Here is a 23,839-nt window from a genome sequence, read left to right on the forward strand (position 1 = left end):
AACTATTTTGAAATATACAGTATATTATTAACAATAGTTGCCATGCTGTGCAATATATCTCAAAAAACTCATTTCTTTTGTCTAGCTGAAACTTTGTACCATTTGACCAACAACTCCCCATCCCTCCCCGAGCCTCTGTAATCACCATTCCCCTCTCTGCTTGTATGCATTCGATTGCTTTACATTCCACGTGTAAATGAAATCATGCAGAAGTTTTACCAATTCTCTCAGGATCTTGCTTATGTAATTTGGTGAACTTCCACTTCAGCACTATTGCAAAAGCCAGGAACAACTTTGAGTAAAACTCTGAGTGAGATTTTATTTTACTTGCAATGGCGGTGAAAATGGTATCCAGTATTTTCCAAGGGAATGCCAATACAGTGTTTACAAGAAGGAAGCAGAGGACTTGAAAACAGAGAGAGATTACAGGGATCCAGAAAATCAGGATACATCAGATCAAACTATAATAAACAACTTTCCCGTGTTTCCAGATGTTCTGGATCATAGATACAGTCTCCTTTCTCAGATTCACAACTGGGGCCTAATCCTTTAAGTTTAATCAATACTTCATCAGAAAAGCGTCCTTGAGGGTGAAGAAAAACATTGAGTATATTACTTGAATATCTGTATTATTCAAAAATTAGCTTATCATATGTTTTTTGATATCCTGAAATTTGTGTTTAGGGTTCAAAATAGAGGTGCAAATTGTATCAAGCAAAATAAAACTTGAGATTGCTGCTCTTTCATTTTTCTTTCTTTTCTTTTCTTTTCTTTTTTCTTTTTTTTTTTTTTGAGATCTGCAGCTTCTAGTTTTCTACCCTGACCTCAATACAATTATGGGGAGGGTTTGAGGGGAGAGTCTGAAATTTCTCATTCACTAAAGCTACATCATTCCTGAGAGCTCAAAAATCATTTTCCAGTCTGATGTTCTATGTTATTTTCTTTTTGTTTTTGTTTTCACAAAGTCGACTGGTAAAATGATGAGAAGACACCAAAGAGTAACTTTAGGATTTTGCAGCCTCAAAGGCCGAGAGAGATTGCCAGCAATTTGAATCTGATCCTAAAGAGTAGATGTGCAATGGGCTGGGTTCTTGTGGCCGGCCCCGGGCGTCTGACGTGTCTCACCGTTACAGAGAGCTGGTCTGCATTGTCCGGGCATGGCCAGGATTCAGAGAGGGGAAAAAGGAAGCTCTGTTTAGTGTAATCTAAACACCAGCACAAAGCTGCAGGTGTCTGCCCAGAGAAACACAAGTACCATTTCTCTTAGGCACAGGAAGTCTTCTTCAGACTTGTTTAAAGAAGAAAGACCAGGCAGACACCTCAACAATGATGATACGTTATGTCTTAAAGGGAGTAAAGTGCTAGTGAATGTAAATCTTCCCCTCCTCAAATCCTTTCTTTTTCCTCTTCAAATTGCTGTTTCTAAACATTATCCTGACATACAAACTGGTTTAACTTGACATCCATAATAAAAACATATTTATCTGAATAAATTTCAAATCAATGACACTTTTGCGTGCACCTGATGCATTTTGCTCTGGGTAGGTTGATACTGTTCAGGCACAGCCTCCACAGACTTTCTTTCCTATAGCTTCTTTCTCCACTTCCCTCCTCATTTCCCACTCCTGCCACCACGGCCTCCACCACAATCTACACCACACTTACATTCTGGCTTTGCTCCTGTAGCATTAAAGCATTTGTATTGGCATTGTAGGTTGTCTTACCACTTTAAATGTAAAGGAGACAGTGAACTAGAGCAAAGGAGAATGGGAGAGTTGATTTCGTTCCCCTACCTACCAAGGAAAGAGAAAGAATAGCCAGAGGAAATGAGGTCTTCTGAAACTCAAAAATGGGATTCGAGAACAATGCAGCCTTCTGGAAACTGTGGAGTGTTAAGGGAAGTTATGCTCTGTCACAGGAAGGGTGAGTGAGGCACTGTGCCTTGTGAGACCTCTGGCCAGGCTCTGTGGCAGCTGCAGGTGGGGCAGCAACCTGGGAAACAAGAGGTGACTTCACTTGGTAGCACTCAGACTTGGATTGAGGAAGATCGGAGGCCCACCACTGAGTTGTTTGTATTAAAAGGTGTGCATTAAAGGGGGCCAAATCGTTGACTATGGCTTGACTTTTAAATTTTAAGAAGCTGAACTTGAAGCTTATTGTCCTCTCCTCCCCCTCCTCTTCCCTCTCCCTCCTTCCTTCCAGAGAACTGGTAGAGTTTATTGGTTAAGAACATGAGATCTGGTTTGCATGCCTGTGCTGACAAGTTCTAGCTATGTGCTTTTAAGCAAGACACGGATCCCTCTATGTCTCAATTATCTTTCCTGTAAAATGTGGGCAATGGTAGTAGCCACCTTGCTAACGTTTGCCATTAAGATTATGATATGACTTTTTAATCTTTGGGAGTGAAACTCTTCTTTCAGAAGTACAAGATACAAGAATTTAACACAGCTTATCATTCTGCCTTTCTTCTTGAGTGTTCTCCAGCCATCCATTCGAGGAGTATTTCTAAACACCCATCGTGGGTGAGATGTGGGGTGACATGATGGGCCTCTCTGACCAGAAAAGAGGAAATATGAAAGCTCCACTAAATTACAGCTAGAATACAAAACTTTCATTTAGTATGTGACTCACATTTTCAGTATTTCTACATCAGTGTTTATACAGGTACTGCCATGAAACTAAAAACATTCATTTGCGTGGTAATTAACACTTAATATTATTAGATTTTATTGTAAAAATTGTGTCAAAATAGACATGAAATTTACCATCTTAACCATTTTAAGTGTTCAGCTCAGCTCAATGGTCTAAAGTCCACTTACATTTTTGCACAATTAATGGGTACTGAATCTCTGTACCCATTAAACAACAACTCCTCACTCCCTCCTCCCCACAGCTCCTGGGGACTGCCATTCTTACTTTCTATCTTTATCAATTTGACCGCTCCAGGTACCTGGAATCAGTGGAATCATACATTATTCATCATTTGTGACTGGCTTATTTTGCTTAGCATAATGTCCTCAAGGTTCAGCCATGTTGCAGGAAGTGACTGGATTTCCTTCCATTTTAAGGCCGCATAATATCCCCTTGTATTTATGTGCCACATTTTAAAGATCCATTCATCCATTGATGGACATGCGTGTTGTTTCCACCATTCAGCTATTGTGAATAGTGCTGCCATGAATGTGGGTCTACGTAAGCACTTAGGATTTTGATAATGACAATCTCTTCAAATTTGATAGCAGAACACTTGCTTAACAGTAGGTAACAAGATTTCAATTTTATAGAGACACCCTTTACTACTTCAACAAACACTCGCTATCTCCGAGTGCCAGGTGCTGGTGTCCAGGGCAAACCCCAGAGCTGTCAGAGAACTTCAGTCACCAGGGAGGCAAATAGGAAACAGGCAAACACACCAGTTGGCATTTATCATTATTCATGGCAGCCAGTGCTGTGAAGGAAACAGCAGGACGCACTGAGAGAGCTCTGGCTGGGTGACCTTGCTCTGGCAGGGTGGTCAGGGAGGGGCTTTCTCACAAGGGGATCTTTGTGCTGAGGCCTGAGGATGAGAAGAAACCAGGGCAGTGCAGAGTGGGAGGTAAGAACTTTCTGGGTGAGAGCACAGCACAGGAGAGTTCTGGGTAACACACCTGGACTGTCCCCCACTCTGTAGATCAGTTCTGACTGTGCTCCTAGTTGCTGAGTGTGACTTGAGCTCCTGACATTCCTGCAGCTCAGTCTTGGTTTATGAATCAAGCATAAAGTTGCCTGCTATTGACACATGCTTTGTAACCTTGGAACTGAAGCATCTCAGGAGTGGATAGAAGCATGAATATCCTTCTGCTTCCGTGGCTCCCAACCCAGTCCTGTTTTAGGGTCTGGGTCCCCAGGGAGTTCATAACAAAAAATCTTTGCTGGTGTTTCCCATATGAGAGGAAGGAGGGTGCTGTTTCAATATGGAGCATCACTCAGACAGAGCCCTTCCTTGGTGAAATGTGCTCTAAAGCTTACACATTTCCTCCTGTCGTTTGTATATATATATATATATATGACATATATATATATACACGTATATATATATGTGATATCTCACTGTGTCCCAAATATGTATTTATTTGTCCCAGAATGGAATAAGTCTTAAGTCAGGCAATTTTATATTGTGGAATGGATTGCTAAGGAAAAGATTCTGGATTTCCAGGAAGCCAACACAAATAGCAAACTACAAGGATGTAAAGTGAGAACAAAAAATGACATCAGTTTTGGAAACTTCTATCTCAAGCCCATGTCAGCCTCCCCGGTCCTCATTGTGAACGTGCATGTGTCTTCTCAGGCCTGTTCATCAAAGCCATTTCCTCGGACCCACTTTATAGAGAAATGAGTGCTCAGCGCATGTGAACCGAAGGTCCTTTTGTGATATGAAGTGACTCCGGACACTCACGAACACCTGTCTGTACTAGATGTCTCTGAGATAGGATGAACCTATTTCACTGAAAACTTAAATAGGTTAAGCTCTTTGCTGTTACTGTTGCTGATGTAATGTCACCCACATTTTTTTTTATTAATATGATCCCTTAGGATATGAAAATATTTATATTAGTCTCAGATAGCCAAGGAACACACTTTTGTTTTAGTCATTCAATTTTTTCTCACATAATGCTAACTCAGTGCCGACTTTGCCTCTTGGTCTGAGGCTGGCCTATTTTGTTTATTGTTGTTAGTGTATTTTTATATGTGTTATATGCAGTCCTTTTTGAGGACTAGGACAATAAGAAATATATTTTACTTCATCTGAATTAACAAATTTTCACAAAACAACATTTATTACTTACTCCAAGAGACGCATTCTAGTATCTTCTAATCTATAATATTCTCTTTAATTATGTTCTATTTCATTTTTAAAAATGCTAGCCCAAACCTACTAAAGTGCCATGATTCACTAATGGGTTGAGCCCCGCAATTTGAAACACACTGTACAGTCAAGCTATGGGGCCTTCTGTGGCTCACTACCTGTCCAGAGCACACAGGCTCCTTCAGGTAGCATGGTGGTTTCTTTCTGAAGGCTCAGTACATGGCAAGGGTTTCCACCGGTTAATTGTTGAATCAAGTGACTTAATTTCTTTTTTTCTTTTTAATAATTTGAACTTTTTTTTTTCAGAGGCAGGGTCTTGGTCTGTCACCCAGGCTGGAGTGCAGCGGCGTGATCACAGCTCACTGCAGCCTCCACCTCCTGCTCAAGTGATCCTCCTGCCTCAGCCTCCTGAGTAGCTGGAACCACAGGCATGCACCACCACGCCTGTCTAATTTTTTATTTTTTGTGGAGACAGGGTCCCCCTATGTTGCCCAGGCTGATTTTGAATTCCTGGGCTGAAGCCATCCTCTCACCTGGGCCTCCCAAAGTACTGAGATTACAGGCATGAACCACTGAGCCCAGCCTAATTTTGACTTTTATTTTAGATTCAGGGGGTACATGTACAGGTTTGTTACATGAGCATATTGCATGATCCTGAGGTTTCGGGTACAAATGATCCCATCACTCAGGTAATGAACATAATATCGGATAGGTGGTTTTTCAGCCCTTGACCCTCTCCGCCTCACTCCTTCTAGTAGTCCTCAGTGTCAGCTGGTCCCCTTTTTGTGTCCATATGTACCCAATGTTTAGCTCCCACTTATAAGTGAGAACATGCAGTACTTGGTTTTCCATTCCTACATTGATTTGCTTAGCATCATGACCTCCAGCTACATCCATATTTCTGCAAAGGACATAATTTCATTCTTTTTAATGTCTGCATAGTATTCCATAGTGTATATGTACCACGTTTTCTTTATTCAGTTCACCATTGATGTGCACCTGGATTGATTGCATATCTTTGCAATTGTGAATAGTGCTGTGATGAACATATTCATGCATGTGTAGAACAATTTATTTTCCTTTGGGCATATACCCAGTAATGGGATTACTGGGTTGAATGGTAGTTCTGTTTTTAGTTCTTTGAGAAATCTCCAAACTGCTTTCCACAGTGGCTGAACTAATTTACATCTGCACAAACAGTGTTATAAGCATTTTCCTTTTCTTTGCAGTATTGCCAGCCTCTGTTATTTTTTATCATTTTAGTAATAGCCATTCTGACTGGTGTGAGATGGTATCTCATTGTGGCTTTGATTTGCATTTCTCTGACAATTAGTGATGATGAGCATTTTTTTCATATGTTTGTTGGCCTCTTGTATGTCTTCTTTTGAGAAGTGTTGGTTCATGTCCTTTGCTTACTTTTCAGTGGGGTTATCTTGTTGAGTTGTTTTGAGTTCCACACAGATTGTGGATATTAGACCTTTGTTGCATGCAGAGTTTGAAAATATTTTCTCCCATTCTCTGGGTTATCTGCTTACTCTGTTGATAGTTTCTTTCACCGTGCAAAAGCTGTTTAGTTTAATTAAGTCCCACTTGTCAATATTTTTTGTTGTTGCAATTGCTCTTGAGGACTTGGTCATAAATTCTTTGCCAAAGCTGACTTCCAGAATGGTATTTCCTAGTTTTTTTTTTCTATGGGTTTTGTAATTTGAGGTCTTAAATTTAAATCTTTAATCCATCTTGAGTTAATTTTTGTATATGGTGAAAGGTAGGGGTTCAGTTTCATTCTTTTGCATATGGCTAGCCAGCTATCTCAGCACTATTTATTGAATATGGAGTCCTTTTCTTATTGCATATTTTTGTCAACTTTGTTAAAGATCATTTGGTGTAGGTGTATTACTTTATTTCTGGGTTATCTGTTTTGTTCCATTGGTCTATATGTCTGTTTTTGTACCAGTACCATGCTGTTTTGGTTATTGTAGCCTTATAGTATAATTTCAAGTCAGACAATGTAATGCCTCCAGCTATGTTGCTTAGGATTGCCTTGGTTATTCAGGCTTTTTTTTTGGTTCCAAATGAATATTAGAATAGTTTCTTTTCTAATACTGTGAAAAATGGTGTTAGTATCTTGATAGGAATAATGTTGAATCTATACATTGTTTTGAGCAGTATGACCATTTTAATAATATTAATTCTTCCAATCCATGATCATGGAATGTTTTCCCATTTGTTTATGTCATCGCTGATTTCTTTCAGCAGTGTTTTGTAGTTCTTGTAGAGATCTTTTACCTCCTTGGTTAGCTGTATTCCTGGATATTTTATTTTTGTGTGTGGCTATTGTAAGTGGGATTGCATTCCTGATTTGGCTCTCTGCTTGAATGTTATCAGTGTATATAAATGCTACTCTGTGCTCGCTTCGGCAGCACATATATTAGAAATGCTGCCCATTTTTGTGCATTGATTTTGTATCCTGACACTTTACTGAAGTCATTTATCAGGTCTAGGAGCATTTTGGCAGAGTCTTTAGGGTTTTCTAGGTAGAGAATCATATCATTAGTGAAGAGAGATGATTTGACTTCTTTTTCTATTTGGATACCTTGTATTTCTTTCTCTTGCCTGGATAGGACTTCCTGTTTTTTGTTTTTTGAGAGAAGGTCTGACTCTGTCATCCATACTGGGCTGCGGAAACTTAATCTCTTGAGTTTTGAACCCCCTGTCATTGAATTATACGAGAAAAAAAATTTCTTGATGGGTACTCTGCAAATTAAGAGTTTTGTTAACTTGGACCTCCTCTGGTCAAAGCTCCAACCAGCTTGAATCCCTTTCTTGCTGTTGATTGCTTCCTAATTTTTTTGGTCATAAATAACCTTAAGGAGGCAATTCAAACTTTGGCCACTTCTCTAAGAATGAGTTTTCTCATCCACAAAATGAGGAGAACTCTCTCATAAGGTCATGAGGATTAAATAAAATAATTTGGGTAAAGCATTTAGAATACATGGTAATTCCTCAATATTAACCATTATTATTGTTGTCAATTTTGCTTTCAAATATGTTAGCCCCTGAGAATCCACAATATTCTCTATCTTCATATTCTTGTATTTCAGCCTGTGACGTTAAGAGGAAGTCATCAGGAGAAGACCTTCTTAGTCCATTCAGGCCGTGAAAACAAATTATCAGGAACTAGGTGGCTTATAAACAATGTATGTGAAATTTGTTTCTCACAATTTTGGAGCCTGGGAAGTTCAAGAACAAGGCAGATTTGGTATCTGGTGAGGGCCCACTCTTTGGTTAGTAGACAGTGTCTTTTCACTCTGTTATTGCCCACCTCCCAATACTATCACATTGGGGGATTTCATCATATGAATTCTGGGGAGATAGAAACATTCAGATCATAACAAGGTGGCAGAAAAAATTTTCAGGAGGTCAGGGACTGTATCTTTTTCATCCTTACAGCTATAGCAGCCATTATAGGTTATTACTTTATAAATATGGCATTGGAAGGGAACAAGAATGAAGAAGAGAATAGAAGGGAAGGTCCCAGTGGAAACTCATGATCTGTTGCCTAAATTCCAAACATGAACCAGTTCTCAGACGTGGAGCCCATTAGTTGAGGGTCAAGTCCCAGTAAGGAAGGATTCTGCAACACTGAGGCAAATGTATACTGTAGGAATTCCTCAGTTCTCCTTTAAAGGCACATATGGGTGTTTACTTGGGTAACCCTTGGGAATAGGTTATGTCCAGCTTGTTCAAAAGCTGTTGGTTATAGGTCTGAGTTGATGTTGATTCCTCCCAACCCAAAGCACCATCATCATGTCCCTGTTAGAGGAGGGCTTTATGGGGCAAGTAATCAATGGAGCCATGGCCCTGAGCCATCATGAGATGGTGGGTCTCCCAGGTCCGCAGACCAACAGATGGTCACTTCCCAAATTCCTGAATACATACTAGGTAAGAACATACTTACCTTGGCAGAATCCTCATATTTCTTCCTGACCTTGGAGTAAAAGCTATTGTCATAGGAAAAGCCAAATGGAGGCTCCTGAAACTGCCTTCCCATATCAGGGTAGTTAATCAAAAGCAGCATGGTATCCTGGAAAGAATGGCAGAGGCTAAGTGCTACACTAACTGACACATGACGCAGAGGTAGTGGCTTTTATCTTAATCATCAGTCTGGTTCTGACAAAACCAGATGGATCATAGCAGATGACAATGAACTATTACAAACAACCAAGTAATGGCTCCAATTACAGCTGCTTTGTCAGATGGGCTCTCTTTACTAGGGCAGATTATCACAGCCTCAAGTATGGGGGATGCAGTTATTGATCTGGCAAATGCATTCTTTCCCATAAGGTAGGAAGAACAGAAGAAATTAGCATTTAACTGGGATGGACAACAGTACACAGTAATGATCTAGTCCCAGGTATATGTTGATTCTGCTCTCTGTCACAAGATAGCCTGAAAGGACCTGGATTGACTGGGCATTCTGCAGAACATTGTTCCACTAATGATAGGTACTCTAGATGCCTTAGTAAGATAAATTCTTCAGAGAGTGGGAGGTAAACTTGCCAAAAATTCAGGGGTCTGCTACATTAGGGAAGGTTATAGGTGGTCCAGGGGTCTGGGGCATGTCAGCAGGCCCTCTAAAGTAAGTAACAAGTACCTTATTCTTAGTAAGGAAGAAAGTAAGGAATAAATGAATACTTTGCAGCCACTTCTACTCAGAAAGATGCATAATTGTTAGCTCTTTTTGGGTTTTGAAGGCAGTATATTCTGTACTTGAGAATATTTCTGATTCATTTATCAAGTGACATGGAAGGATGCTACTTTGGAGTTGGACCTGAAGCAAGAAAATTCCTTATATTACAGGTATTTCTGCTGTTTAGACTATATGATCCAGCAGATGCCATGGTCCTAGAGGTATCTGGGTAGAATGGGATGTTGAGTAACAGCTCTGGAAAGCCCCCAAAGGAGTTACAGCATAGAACCTGTGGTTCTGGGGCAGGGTCACACTATCTGCGGCAGAGTGCTGTATGCCACGTGAAAAATATTTCTTGACATGCTATTGGGCACTTGTAGAGACAGAACATCCAAACACGTAATATCAATTGACCACATGCCAATCATGAACTGGGTATAATCAGCCCCACCAAGATATGAGGTCAGGCAGGCCCAGCAACAATCTGTTGTAAAATGAAAGTGGCACATCCTGGATTGGGCTTGAGCAGGTCCAGAGGATACAAATAAGCTACATGAACAGGTGGCCCAGACCTCCACATGATCTACTACTTTGCACTGATGTCTTTCCCTCATCTCACACCTATTGCCACATAGGGGACTTCTTATGAGACCAGTTGAAGGAGGAGAAAAACCAAGCTTGGCACACAATAGCTGAGCATATTGACATGAGCTGAAAATGGACTATTGCTGCACTATAGCCCCTCTTGTGGTCTTGAAAGACATTGGGGTGCAAAATCCTTCAATCGGTAGAGTCTCACACCAGTACTGCCTCTGGCCATCAACTTTGTATAGAAAGAGAAGAGGATTAGGTAAGAATATGCATGGGTTCTGGGGAAGTGACTCAACTCATTTTTAAGGGGCATAGAAAAAGAGGAACAAAAAATTTTGGAGAAGAGTTATGTGGACAGACCTATGGGAGTGGTCCTAAAGTGTGATCTTTGGATTGCATGTAAATGCACAACAAGAGCCACTGCAGCAAAAGTACAAACAACCAAACAGATGGGATGGATTGGCCAGTGGATGCCAGCCTCTGTCCTTGGCTTCCCCAGGGCATGATCAATGGGCTCATGAGTGGAGCCATCATGAAGGCAGAAACAGAGGCTATGCATGAGCCCAGCAGCAAGAACTTCCTCTCACCAGGGCTGATTAAACTACTGCTGCTGCTAAACATCAGATTTGTAAGCTCAAAAAAGCTAAGATCCTGAAGCTGATCAGCAAGATGTATGTGGCAAATTTATTCCAGAAGCCTCTTCTCACCCTGGTTAGAATAGTGATTCACTCACTGAGACTGAGACATATTCTGGATATGGCTTTATCTTTCCTGCCCACAAGACCTTGACCATCTCATTATCCAAGGGCCCACAGAGTGTCTGCTTCACTGACAAGGGATCACCTATAACATCTCTTTGGACTGAAGACAAACTTTATGGCAAAGGAAGTGTGGCAGTGTGCAGACAACCATGGGATCTACCTATTCTACCCCATGCCACACCATTTAGAAGTTGCCAACCTGAAAGAATAGTGGAAAAGCCTCCTAAAGAAGCAGTTGAATCACCTTCTTGAGTACGGCACCCCAAGTGGATGAGGGACTACTTTAGAATGCAGTAAACTTTTAGAACTAATGCCATTGTAGCTAATATACCTAGACGTAGAAAACATGGTTCCAGGAAGTAGAAGTGGCTTTGTTCATCATTTCTGTCATCATGACTGACTGAGGAAATTCGTATATTCCACCCACACAATTTTAGGTAACCTGGTTCTTGGAGGTGGCTGCTTCCATGAAAGAACATAGTCAGGGTCCTAGGGAATGTAAAGACATGGCTGTGCCTCTGGCCACTTTGGTCTTTTTACGCTAATAGACAACCAGGCATAGAGAAATGTACTATAGATTCTGGATATTAGCCCTTTGTCAGATGAGTAGGTTGAGAAAATTTTCTCCCATTTTGTAGGTTGCCTGTACACTCTGATGGTAGTTTCTTTTGCTGTGCAGAAGCTCTTTAGTTTAATTAGATCCCATTTGTTAATTTTGGCTTTTGTTGCCATTGCTTTTGGTGTTTTAGACATGAAGTCCTTGCCCATGCCTATGTCCTGAATGGTAATGCCTAGGTTTTCTTCTAGGGTTTTTATGGTTTTAGGTCTAATGTTTAAGTCTTTAATCCATCTTGAATTGATTTTTGTATAAGGTGTAAGGAAGGGATCCAGTTTCAGCTTTCTACATATGGCTAGCCAGTTTTCCCAGCACCATTTATTAAATAGGGAATCCTTTCCCCATTGCTTGTTTTTCTCAGGTTTGTCAAAGATCTGATAGTTGTAGATATGCGGCATTATTTCTGAGGCCTCTGTTCTGTTCCATTGATCTATATCTCTGTTTTGGTACCAGTACCATGCTGTTTTGGTTACTGTAGCCTTGTAGTATAGTTTGAAGTCAGGTAGTGTGATGCCTCCAGCTTTGTTCTTTTGGCTTAGGATTGACTTAGTGATGCAGGCTCTTTTTTGGTTCCATACGAACTTTAAAGTAGTTTTTTCAAATTCTGTGAAGAAAGTCATTGGTAGCTTGATGGGGATGTCATTGAATCTATAAATTACCTTGGGCAGTATGGCCATTTTCACGATATTGATTCTTCCTACCCATGAGCATGGAATGTTCTTCCATTTGTTTGTATCCTCTTTTATTTCATTGAGCAGTGGTCTGCAGTTCTCCTTGAAGAGGTCCTTCACGTCCCTTGTAAGTTGGATTCCTAGGTATTTTATTCTCTTTGAAGCAATTGTGAATGGGAGTTCACTCATGATTTGGCTCTCTGTTTGTCTGTTATTGGTGTATAAGAATGCTTGTGATTTTTGTACATTGATTTTGTATCCTGAGACTTTGCTGAAGTTGCTTATCAGCTTAAGGAGATTTTGGGCTGAGACAATGGGGTTTTCTAGATATACAATCACGTCATCTGCAAACAGGGGCAATTTGACTTCCTCTTTTCCTAATTGAATACCCTTTATTTCCTTCTCCTGCCTAATTGCCCTGGCCAGAACTTCCAACACTATGTTGAATAGGAGTGGTGAGAGAGGGCATCCCTGTCTTGCGCCAGTTTTCAAAGGGAATGCTTCCAGTTTTTGACAAATTTACAAGAAAAAAACAAACAACCCCATCGAAAAGTGGGCGAAGGACATGAACAGACACTTCTCAAAAGAAGACATTTATGCAGCCAAAAAACACATGAAAAAATGCTCACCATCACTGGCCATCAGAGAAATGCAAATCAAAACCACAATGAGATACCATCTCACAACAGTTAGAATGGCGACCATTAAAAAGTCAGGAAACAACAGTTGCTGGAGAGGATGTGGAGAAATAGGAACAATTTTACACTGTTTGTGGAACTGTAAACTAGTTCAACCATTGTGGAAGTCAGTGTGGCGATTCCTCAGGGATCTAAAACTAGAAATACCATTTGACCCAGCCATCCCATTACTGGGTATATACCCAAAGGACTATAAAGACACATGCACATGTATGTTTATTGCGGCACTATTCACAATAGCAAAGACTTGGAACCAACCCAAATGTCCAACAATGATAGACTGGATTAAGAAAAAGGGGCACATATACACCATGGAATACTATGCAGCCATAAAAAATGATGAGTTCATGTCCTTTGTAGGGACATGGATGAAATTGGAAATCATCATTCTCAGTATACCATCACAAGGACAAAAAACCAAACACCGCATGTTCTCACTCATAGGTGGGAATTGAACAATGAGAACACATGGACACAGGAAGGGGAACATCACACTCTGGGGACTGTTGTGGGTTGCGGGGAGCGGGGAGGGATAGCATTAGGAGATATACCTAATGCTAAATGACGAGTTAATGGGTGCAGCACACCAGCATGGCACATGTATACATATGTAACTAACTTGCACATTGTGCACATATACCCTAAAACTTAAAGTATAATAATAATAAAATAAAAAAAATTCATCATCCATTAATGACACACACAAAGAAGAAAAATGTACTATATTAGAGGAACAATTGATCCTGATCATCATGAGGCAGTTGGACTGCTGCTACACACAGGAAAAGGGAGGCGCATGTTTGGGGTTTTGATGCACCTCTGTGGTGGTTCTTGGTGCTCCTAGGCTCAGTTTAAATTGCAGTTGGACAAATACAGTAAACATAGTTGGTCAAGAAAGGTAACAAGGGCTCAGATCCTGCACGAAAGTCACCTAGAACTACAGAGGTGCTGACCAAGAGTGAAGGGAATCTATAATGTGTGGCAGAGCAGGGCATGGTAACTATCAGTGATGGCCTTGGACCAACTGCAGCAAGGAGCTGAAGTTCATCTCACTGACAGTGCTCTTGTAAGCTCCTTAAGAATCATGACACAGAATCCCGCAGAAGCCATGCCTGCATGGAGTGAACTCAGTGTGAGGAGAAAGTGGAAATTAACAGGCAAAGGGTGGGTTGCAGCAGGTACCACTTGAATCCACTTTCCTGGGCTGAATGCCCCAGATGCTGTGTGTGCCAGTAGCTAACAGCTAGCAAGTCTTTCCTTCTCCCCCAAATTTCCCTCAGCTGATGGGAGCAGCTTTGCCCAGCAAATTCAAGCTGTCTCTCCAGGTTAGGAGGGTCCAGAGGCAATGACCAACTGATATAGAGGTATAGAAGGCAGGACCTTTTGCATCAAGCAGTGGTGGTAGTGGTGGAGAAGATCACTCTGCAGTTCTGTTTATGCTATGGAGCTCCCCCAACCTCCCACCATGGACCAGGACAAGGCTAGACTCTACCTGAGACAGCAGCCTTGCCCTGCTCTCTCCCCTCCCCTGCCATCCTTCCCTCTTCCCCTCCCTCACTGTTTTTTTCTGTAAGGCACTCCCTCCATCAATCCTATGCACCTGAATCTTTGACTGAGGCTCTGATATCCTTTTTCCTTTGGTCCTCTGTCCTGGAGAGTAGGCATTCTTTAAATCATCCCATAAAAAATTAAATACCCTGGTGAATGGAGCCACCAGAAGGGTCCAGAATTTTGAGGACTGAAGGGTTCCTTAGAGGACAAAATTTATTCAGGGACACCTCTTACTTTTGCATATTTTATTTAAGCATAATGCATACACTGAAAGTAAACTGTAATGTATAGCCTGCTGAATTTTCACAAGGACATTATAGGAAGGGAAGAGATGGGGTTACAGTGGCACACACTTTTCTACAACAGTCCAGAAACAATCATGGCCCTCTCACTGCCATTTCACAGGCTGGAGCTTGTCACATGGCCCGCCCACAAGAAGAGGGGAGAACTGGACATGGGCAAGATTAGGGATCTCTATAGCAATAAACACAAGTCTGACCAAATCATTTTTTTCTCCATTGAATTTTCTTGCATATATCAATTTATCTCCCTTTCTCCAGTTTTGGTGGCCAGTTCAAACTGTCTCAACCAATATACAGAGAGAATGCATTTAGGGTGTTTGTTCCAATGATAAATTATGAAGAACTTCATCAATTTGATTTGGTTAAATTTAGTATATCATTAAACGATAGGAAAGTCACCTTTACCACAATCTGAGGTCCAGTTGGAAACAAAATGGTAGTCAAAAAACTTTCTACTGGGACTATCTTCTGCAATTTTTAAATTTGCAGTGAAATTTTAGATAGAAGCCCCAAAGACACATAGATAGAGGCCGCAAAGACACATGATTACACCAAGAAAGGTGTACAATTTAAAGGATCACTGATGATACTAGGAAAAATGTAAAAATAATTATAGATCCTTTGGTTTTCATGCACATTCTCATAATGACCGCCATTACTGGCTTTGGGGCCACATTCCATAATGAGTCTTTTTTTTAGGACTTAGTGTGCATAGAAGCGGCGCTGAAACTGTGTTTCTATTAATGAATGTATAGTTCTAAGCTGCAACAATGGCAATCCTGTATTATTCTGTGAACAAAATTCTGCTGAATTCACAGACAGGTGACATTGTGTGGGCACTAATGTATACGGTGCTCTCTGTTGTAATAAGGCTGCTATTGTCTTTAACACAATACTGCTGAATGCGCACTGGACTTACAGCAGGTGCTGTTAGCTAAGACTGGACTTAACTCTTTGGAGTCTGATTTAAGCACCCTTTTACAGCCTCATCAGTGGCTTCCAATCTCAAAAATTCCCATTCATGTCTTTAATTTTTTTTACTGTGTTCATCCTTCCTTTCCCTACCTCCTTGTATGTTTTTATAATGATGCCATTTGCATCCAAATTCTTCGATATGTGGAAATGCATATTTTGCCTGCTTGTCTGAGGAGGTTGTTGACTCATCTCTTCATTCTTTCTGTCTGGGGGAGATGCACCCTTGTGCTTTGCTTGCATCTCCCACTTTGTCCCCCAATCTACGAGGACTCTATGTGGTAGTATCATTTCTCTCAAACACTGCATTCTCTAGCAGCAGTGAGTGCTCTGGGCTGGAAAAGGACATTAAACATCACCAATGATTTGACTAGGACACAGTGTGCTGGGCCAACAGAGAGTCACACAAGGCAGGAAGAAAGCCCTGGCTCTTGTCTCTGGTCCCTCGGCCACCAGCAGCCCAGGGCCCATGTGCACACACGTATCAGGCAGTCTCCATGCATAGAGAGGGCTGACCTGGGCACACAGAGGGTCCTCAGGGAGGGACATTTCACTCTTCCCTTTTATCTGCCTACAGATGATCCACTTTTGAGATTACCTGGGAGAGGGCAGCAGCCACTCATCCATCTGGCCTTAGCTTCGTCATTGGTTTCCTTCCTCGCCTTTGGCACCTGTCTGTGGCCTGCAGCCCAGCGGTGGCAGGGAGAGAATTGGGAAGGAGAGCCACCGTATCTCTGGGCAGCTATTTCTGTCAACTGAAAAGGCCATTTAAGCAAAACACTTAATTACCTTTCCTCTTCCCTGCCACCCCTGGGAAAGTATGAGCCAGTCAGATAATGAGCTTAGAGCAAGTGAGCAGCTTGGGAGGGCAGAGATTTCCATCCGACTGAGGAGTGACCTCCTCTGATCCCATCATGAAATGGGGAGCAGAGACAAGAGCAAGGGGTGAAATAAACAGGCTCCTCTGCAGCATGGCTTCATTATCTCACCTGTCACGTTGCAGATTCCTAGAACATTAGAGAGCTCTAATTCCCAGGTAAAGCACCCAGGCCTGGTCTGTGATGAGCCAACTCTGAAATGGAAGCTACTTCCACAGCATGGTGCTGTGCAAAGAGCTCTAAGCTGAGCATCTACCCTGCATGGCTGTTGCCAGCTGGGAGGTTTGGGCAACCCACTCAACCCTCTGGGCCTCAGGTTTCTGACAGATAAAAGGAGGACATTGGACTTGAGGGTTGCTAAGGCACCTCTAAATTTTATAAAGCTAGAAAAATTGCTTCGGGTGTAGGGGAGTTGGGAAAATGGGGTCCCCTCTAAGCTGGGAGCCTGGCTGTACCTGGGGGAGGCACCGGCTGCATTCTGCACCAGGTTCCCCTTGGGGATGTGTGTCAGGCCAGGGGAGGATGCCCTCCTGGGCTTGTCAGAACCAGTTGTTGGGGTCCCGCCCACAGAGGCACAGCCTGCCAAACGAAAGGCATGGAGAGCCACTGGCCTGCAGGGAAAGCCCCACATCCGCAAAGAGCTCATGCCAGCCCTGTCTGGAAGGGGCAGCAGTTTGCCTGCCTCTGTGGCTGAGCTGACTGGGTGTCTTTCTTGGTTCCCATCCATTTTGACCTCAGTGAGTCTCATGTTTTCTGTTCCCTCATTTGCCCTGCTTGGACCTGGCATCTGGCCGTGCTGGCCCAACTGAGGACAGTGGCCATGGAGTGCCCCCCAACTGCAGCTGCCAGGCCATCCCCACTGCTGGGCCCTGCCCAGCCACCCACGCTGGGCCCCATCCCACTCCCAGAATGTGATATCCCACCCACATTTTTCCTGTTGCCCAGGCCTCCTGTCCACCCTCTGGAGTCTGACCTCACCTTTGCTGGCTGGACTGTGCCATCCGGCCATGGCCTTGGCCTGGGCTGTGACCCTGTGTTGCCTCCTGGTCCCTGCCTGGGGAACCATCAGTGAGGGGGACTCAGAGGCTGGGATGGGCAAGGGGGATTGAGGTCACCGCACCCCGTGGGAGACAGATTGGAAGACTGAGAAAGCCACTCCGTTTAATTCATTCATCAGTCATTGCAAGCTATCCTTAGGTGTGGAGGTTATAGCATTGAACACATAACAACTCCACCTCCCCCTGTGGCACCCAGTGCTGGGGAAATAGAAGAGGACCAAAATAAATAAGCTAAAACATTTTGAAAACCTAACTAACTAAATAAGTAAAACGATGTTTAAAATAAAATGAATATGTGTAGTAGAAAGTACCCACTAGGATGGGAAAAAATAAAACCATGAAGGGCGACAGGAATCCCCAGATTGAGGATGGGGTTTGCAGGGTTAGACAGGGAAATCAGAGGGGGCCTCACTGAAAGGGAAATTTAAGTGACAATCTGAAAGACCCAGGGAGGGAGTCATGCCGAGATCTGGGAAAAGAGGACTAGGGAGGGAGTCATGCCGAGATCTGGGAAAAGAGGACTATAGGCAGAGGGAATGGCACATGCAAATGCCCTGAGGTATAATCGTGCTGGTGAGCAAGAGGGCTGACCAGGAAGCCCATGTGACCTGAGCTGAGGGAGGGGCAGGCTAGGAGATCACTCTGGAGAAATAATGGGGATGGGTGGCCAAGAGCAGGTGGCGTGGGGCTCTGAGGGCTGCTGTGAGAGTTTCCCTCTGAGTGAGTTGAGGGCCACTTCAGGGCTTTGACAAGAGGAAGTCATTCTCTGGCCATGCTGACAGGTTCATTCAGACCGTTGACATGAGAGAACACCAAAAGAGGACCAGGGCACTGAAGGGTGCCTGGCTGGGAGGCGGCTGTGATCACACAGATGAGACATTACACGACTTGGCCCAGGTTGGTGATGGTGGAGGTGGTAAGAAATGGCTGGACTCTAGATGTAAACGTGGATTGACGTGATTTACTGATGGCCTGGATGTGGCATGTCAGAGAAAGAGTGGAGACAAGTATGTTTTTGAGATTCTTGGCCTGAGCAACTGCAGGAAAGGAGCTATGTTTAATGGCAAGGAGTGGGGTCGACCAGGAGCTCAGGGCTGAATGTGTTCATTTCAGACACCTGTAGGTCACTAAATGGAGGGGTGGAGTCTGCAGTGCATGACAGGACAGTATAATTTGGGTGCCCACAGCAAGTAGATGGTATTTAAGGTTGCAGGATGCAATGAGATTACCACTGGAGTGCAGGTAGAGGCTAGAAGAGAGAGACGTCAAAGGCTGAGCACTGGGGCCTCCAGCATGAGGAGGTTGGAGTGAGGAAGAGGAGAGAAAGCTGGGAACGAAAGGCCCAGATAAGAGGAAAACCAATGCTGTGTGCTGCAAGGTAGATGTAGTGTTTCAAGGAGGAGGGAGTGGTTATCCATGTCAACTATGATAAGGTCTAAAACGACAGTTGGGCATAGCAAAGTGGGGGCTATTGTTAAGCCCCATTTTCTGCATGGAAAATTCATTTATTGGACTGAGGATCCTGGCCCCTAGCTTTAGCAACAGAGATGAGCATGTGGCCCAGGTCTGGCTTACAGGGAGCTCCTCCCCTGGTCACAGAGATTGGTTCAGAGACGGGACATGTGGCTCAAGCTGGGCCAATTAGAATTCTCTCTGGACACAGTGATATTGGTTTAGAGATAAGCATGTGGCCCAGGCTGGGCCAATTAGGGTTCTCTTTGAACATTCCGTCCTGGAGCTGTCAGGAAATATTGGCTCCTTTCTCTGGAGTTGCTAAGTGTTAGGATGCAAATCTTGGCCACTAGCAGACATCCTACCTGTCGGGTGGACTCACCATTCCTTGGAGAGAGAAAGATCCCTGACAATAGCATTTGAGGCTATTCTGGCTCCAGTCCTGCCCAAGGCCTGCTGCTCTCTTGGACTTCCATATTTCATTTCCTAGACAATAAATTCTCTACTTGAAGCTGGTTTGAATCAATCTCCTCTCTCTTTCATCCAAAATGTCCTAGCCAATTGAAGGAGATTTCTCTGACGCCAGCTGCTCAATAGTGGGAGGCGCTTCCTCAATAGTGGGAGTGCAGCCTCCTACATGAAACCTTACGGAGCAACCCCTGGATTCAGGACTATTTTTAGCTGCCGCAATTGCCTGGGGAAAGCTGCCGCCCTGGGCACGACCAAACAGGGTCAGCTCCCTATCTCCTCCTGCAGCAGCCTCTGACGCAGGCCTGGAATCTGGGGCAAGGTAGGGTTGCGACCAGAGAAGCTGGGTGAGGATATCAGATTCCACCCGTGACCCAAGAGGTGGCATCCTGTGGGCTGCCAGGGATCAGTACTGGGAGTTCCCCAGGACCTTATGACAGCCAAGCAGGGAACTGCTGCAGGCTTGGAGGGTGACAGGGTCAGCATCTGGGGAAAGCAGACCAAGTAATGGGAGACCAGGGTAGGGGAAGCGGTTGCTAAAACAAACTGACTAATCCTGCCAGATGATGTTTCTCTGGCCTGGAGCTGTTATTTAAAGGGCCAGCCACACACAAATGGCAGCGTCTTAAAGATACTTGGTGCACAGGCCCATTCGTGCTGGCTTTTGGCTTTAGAAATCCAGTCTGCCACCTTTGGGTGTCTTCTCGGTGTGTTAAAAAGGAAAGTACTTTGTACTATTCTTTGGGTCCACGTGCAGATAAACAGGTTATTCAGGCTTCCTCATCTCTCTCCTATACCTGGGCAAATAAATGCATGAGTCACCCATGGGAAGAGCTCTGAGCTTCTCACCCTGCACACCGATAAGGATAAAATATGCTCCAGTGATCATTTCTAGCTACCCACACTGAATAAACCAATCAAGGCCTCATAGAGCCTTGGAATATCTATGCACCAAAGGACTTGGTATAAATCCCTTTTGTCCAAAATCATTACCTCATTGCTTGCTTCTATTTCAGGGTTTCTTTTGTTGTTGGAGAAGACATATGTTTCACACCAACCCTTTCATTATCTAACTGTGGTTGAGACTTCCTTCCAATCATATAGTTTACTCTCATCATGGAATAGAAATGATACCAACTCAAAAAACTTCATTAAATGAAGTGCCACACAGTTTGAATTTGTAGCATTTGACAGAAGCTAAAACGAAATTTACTTGCTGCTCAGATAATTACAGATAGTGCATATTACTAGACTAAACATATTTGTAGGAAGGGTGAATTTAAAGTGTTTAAGAGAAAAACCGTCTTAAACACCCTCAAGCACTTTAAAATGTCACGTTGCACCCAAATAAGCCAGGTACACATCAATCTTCTATAGTCACAAAAGCAGGTCTTCCAAGATTTCTGGCAGGCCGTGGTTGTTTAGCCTATTTTTAATTTACTGCAATAAAACTACATAAAAACCGTATCATTCACCCTTTTTGCTAATTTACTTTGGTCTTCCCCATAATCAGTCTGAAAAGGAATATTCTACTTCATGAATTTACCCTTCAGTGAGGTATATTCTTGGTGCCATAATTGAATTCTCCTTTCTAAATCACATAAAGCAAATGTTTCCCAAGCCCTTTCCATATTTTCTGTAGATGGGACACAAATTGCAAGAGAGAAATATTGTGGAGACGTAGAAGCAGACAGGCCTTCCCTTCTGTTGAGAGTGGTTTTGTTCTTCTGGCTGTTGTGTTTTTAGACTCATGATCTCTATGAAGTGAGCAGAACCAAGCCTCTGGTATATTGGTCAAGGGAGTGTAAACTACTACAATAGAAAAGTCCTCACATCCTAGCAGCTTTCCATACTAAAAGCATGTATCTTGCCCGTGTAACTCTCCAAGGCCAGTCATTCTGGCTGGGCAGCTCTCCTCCATGATATGGTTCAGAGGCCTGGACTCCTTACATGCGTGGCTCCACCACGCTTAACATGTGGCTCCCAGCACAGTTCCAGGAGTCTCATTCTGGTTGGCTGGGGGGAGAAAAGCTCATGAGGACTACACAGGGCTTTATGGTGCACACTTGGGATTGGTGCAGACTTATCAGCTCTGCTTATTTCACACTGACCAGTGTAGGACTGACGTTGGACCATGGTCACACCTCCCTGTAAGGGAGGTTGGGAAGTATCATTTGGCCATGTGCCCAGGGTCTGGGTAAAGAGGCAGTAGTTTCTGCCTCCTGTGGCCATAGTCAAGAGGCTTTTGACTCCAACAGTGGCCAAGTTCTTACACCAAAGGTATTTAAAAATACTAATTGGGGTAGGTCCCAAAAAACGGAGTAAATTTGGTTAATTTCCCCTTTTTTGCTATTCAGTTTTGCTTCTCTATTTTTATCTCATTGATTTCTAGAATGGAAGTAAACATCTTAACATCTTGGTCTCCAATAATATCTCAGAAAAGCTACATGGAGTCTATAGCAAAAGAAGTCTATTTGACCCTGTTTTCTTGTAAATCATTGGAAAGTGACAGGCTTCACACCAAAATGTTCTAGTGGTCTGAGGCAAACAAGATCATGATTACTCTCTCTTTCTTTCTCCCTCTCTCTAACACCTTCATATCAGCGAGTGCCTGACTCATAATTCAGGACATTAGACTTCACATAGACCACCCTGCTCTCTCCACACCTGTGAATCACCTCCTTTCCTTGGGCTGATGTTGACACAAATCTCAAGCCCACCACATTGCAGCTGTGAAGTTCTGGCAACTTATTTAACCTTCCTCAGGTTAAATTATTCCTTAAATTATTCTTCTTGATTCCTTAATCTGTGCAAAATCAGATTAACACTTCCCATCTCTTGGGACCTTGAAGGGTTAAGTTAGATATTGAAGGAGAAATCACAGAGCACAGTGCCTGACAGCTAGACAAGCAATCCCTACCGGCTTCCTTCCTGCTTTGCTCCGCTCAAGGAAAGGTAAAGCGCCAGGGCCTTTGTCAGAATGGTGGTGCCTCTGCTAGTGGAGCTACCTCTCCTCCCCCACACCACAGACTCCACGAAGACCCAACTGCAGCAACGGTTCTTTCCATTCAGGCAGAAATCAGAGGGTCTGAGGGTGAGGGGGGAGTAGGAGCCAGACAAAGGCACAATTACCCCCACATGACTGCCTACTAAGAATTCTGGCTGCAGAAAAGGCTTTTCTGCAGTTTGTTTTTGCTAGTTCTGCTCCAAGAACCCAAGAGGTAAGGCCTTCAGTCAAGAGGACAGCCCACGTCTCATTGTTCCAGTGTAAGTCAACTTAGCTAACCTCTGGCATTTTCTATGCTTCACCTCTTCTCTCATGTATTTTCTTGATTCATAAACAGCTATCTACTCCAGTTAGCACAATTTCTATTGATTGAGCCTGGCTAAGCTTAGCACACTTCACACACACACACACACACACACACACACACACACACACACACACACCCCATCCAAGGAAAATTTGGCCTCTAAATGAAGGGTGGGTTTGTACTCTCTGTTTCTTAGGCCATGCCTGAGTACATGTTGGAGGAAGATGAAAATCACTTCCACCAGTTCTCCTGAGCTAAGTTTATGAGAATCAATTATAATCCTTAAATCTTCTCATTCTTATATAGGCTTATTTTGTACTTAGTTCTGGTATCCCACTCTGAGCCAGTCAGAAGAAAAAAAAAAACCTTTGCATTTGTGATACTGCACAACTGTGCAGCAACCAGGATGATATTCTGGGATAAATCAGCAAAAGCCTTGGCTGTTTCAGTCGTAATCCTAAAGATCAACAGAAGAAATTGCTTGAAGTGGGTGGATAAAATTCTTAGAATAATCCTGCTCAAGCCCTCTAGAGTTCTTTTATGATGCCTTTATATATTTCAGCCTTTCACCTAGAAAGATTCCAAAGCATCACCCAACCTCGTGGGCTGTGCTGTAAGGAAGGAGCATGACAGCTGCAAAAGGGCTTAGACTCGAAAATGTCTTTTGAAGGAGTGTTGGGAGAAAAGGTCCCATTGAGGCTAATGATAAATCTGGGGAGGCGCTTTAAGAAAGTTTCTATGGAAAACAGACACAATAACTTTTCTGTTGAGAATGTCAGTCAAAGTGTACAACCTAGCTAGACATATAGTATATGACCAAAGCGTCGACCTAGCTAGAAACTTGTTCAGCAGGCTGAACTGTAGTGGGGCATCCTGCTGGTGAGCTTATGACAGGTGCATTTTGGCAGGCAGGGCTGAGGCTGGTGTGCAAAGTCATTGGCAGTTGGCAGTGTAAATTATTGAGGGGGTTT

General features: G+C 43.2%; 1 protein-coding gene across 2 annotated transcripts in view, besides 1 other annotated feature; it reads left to right on the forward strand.

Annotated features, from left to right (window-relative positions):
* Nucleotides 1-23,839, forward strand: part of CLVS1 (clavesin 1) — a 536,782-nt gene that overhangs the window by 69,562 nt on the left and 443,381 nt on the right. Inside the window, exon 1 of one of the 2 annotated variants that reach the window (XM_017013141.2) lies at nucleotides 22,749-22,821. The exons of the other annotated variant lie outside the window; for it this stretch is intronic. The gene's annotated coding sequence lies outside the window, so the exon portion shown is untranslated. Of the gene's footprint in view, nucleotides 1-22,748; nucleotides 22,822-23,839 lie in introns of those variants that run through there. 2 annotated transcript variants of the gene reach the window in all.
* Nucleotides 17,485-18,007: an enhancer, noted in NCBI's record as "H3K4me1 hESC enhancer chr8:61964453-61964975 (GRCh37/hg19 assembly coordinates)". NCBI's record gives its function as "activates a minimal SCP1, AML or CMV promoter by ChIP-STARR-seq in naive H9 embryonic stem cells {active_cell/tissue: H9 hESC(naive)}" and the evidence as "EXISTENCE:reporter gene assay evidence [ECO:0000049][PMID:30033119]".

Source organism: Homo sapiens, chromosome 8, assembly GCF_000001405.40.
Source record: "Homo sapiens chromosome 8, GRCh38.p14 Primary Assembly".
In the NCBI taxonomy this organism is placed as follows: Eukaryota; Metazoa; Chordata; class Mammalia; order Primates; family Hominidae; genus Homo; species Homo sapiens.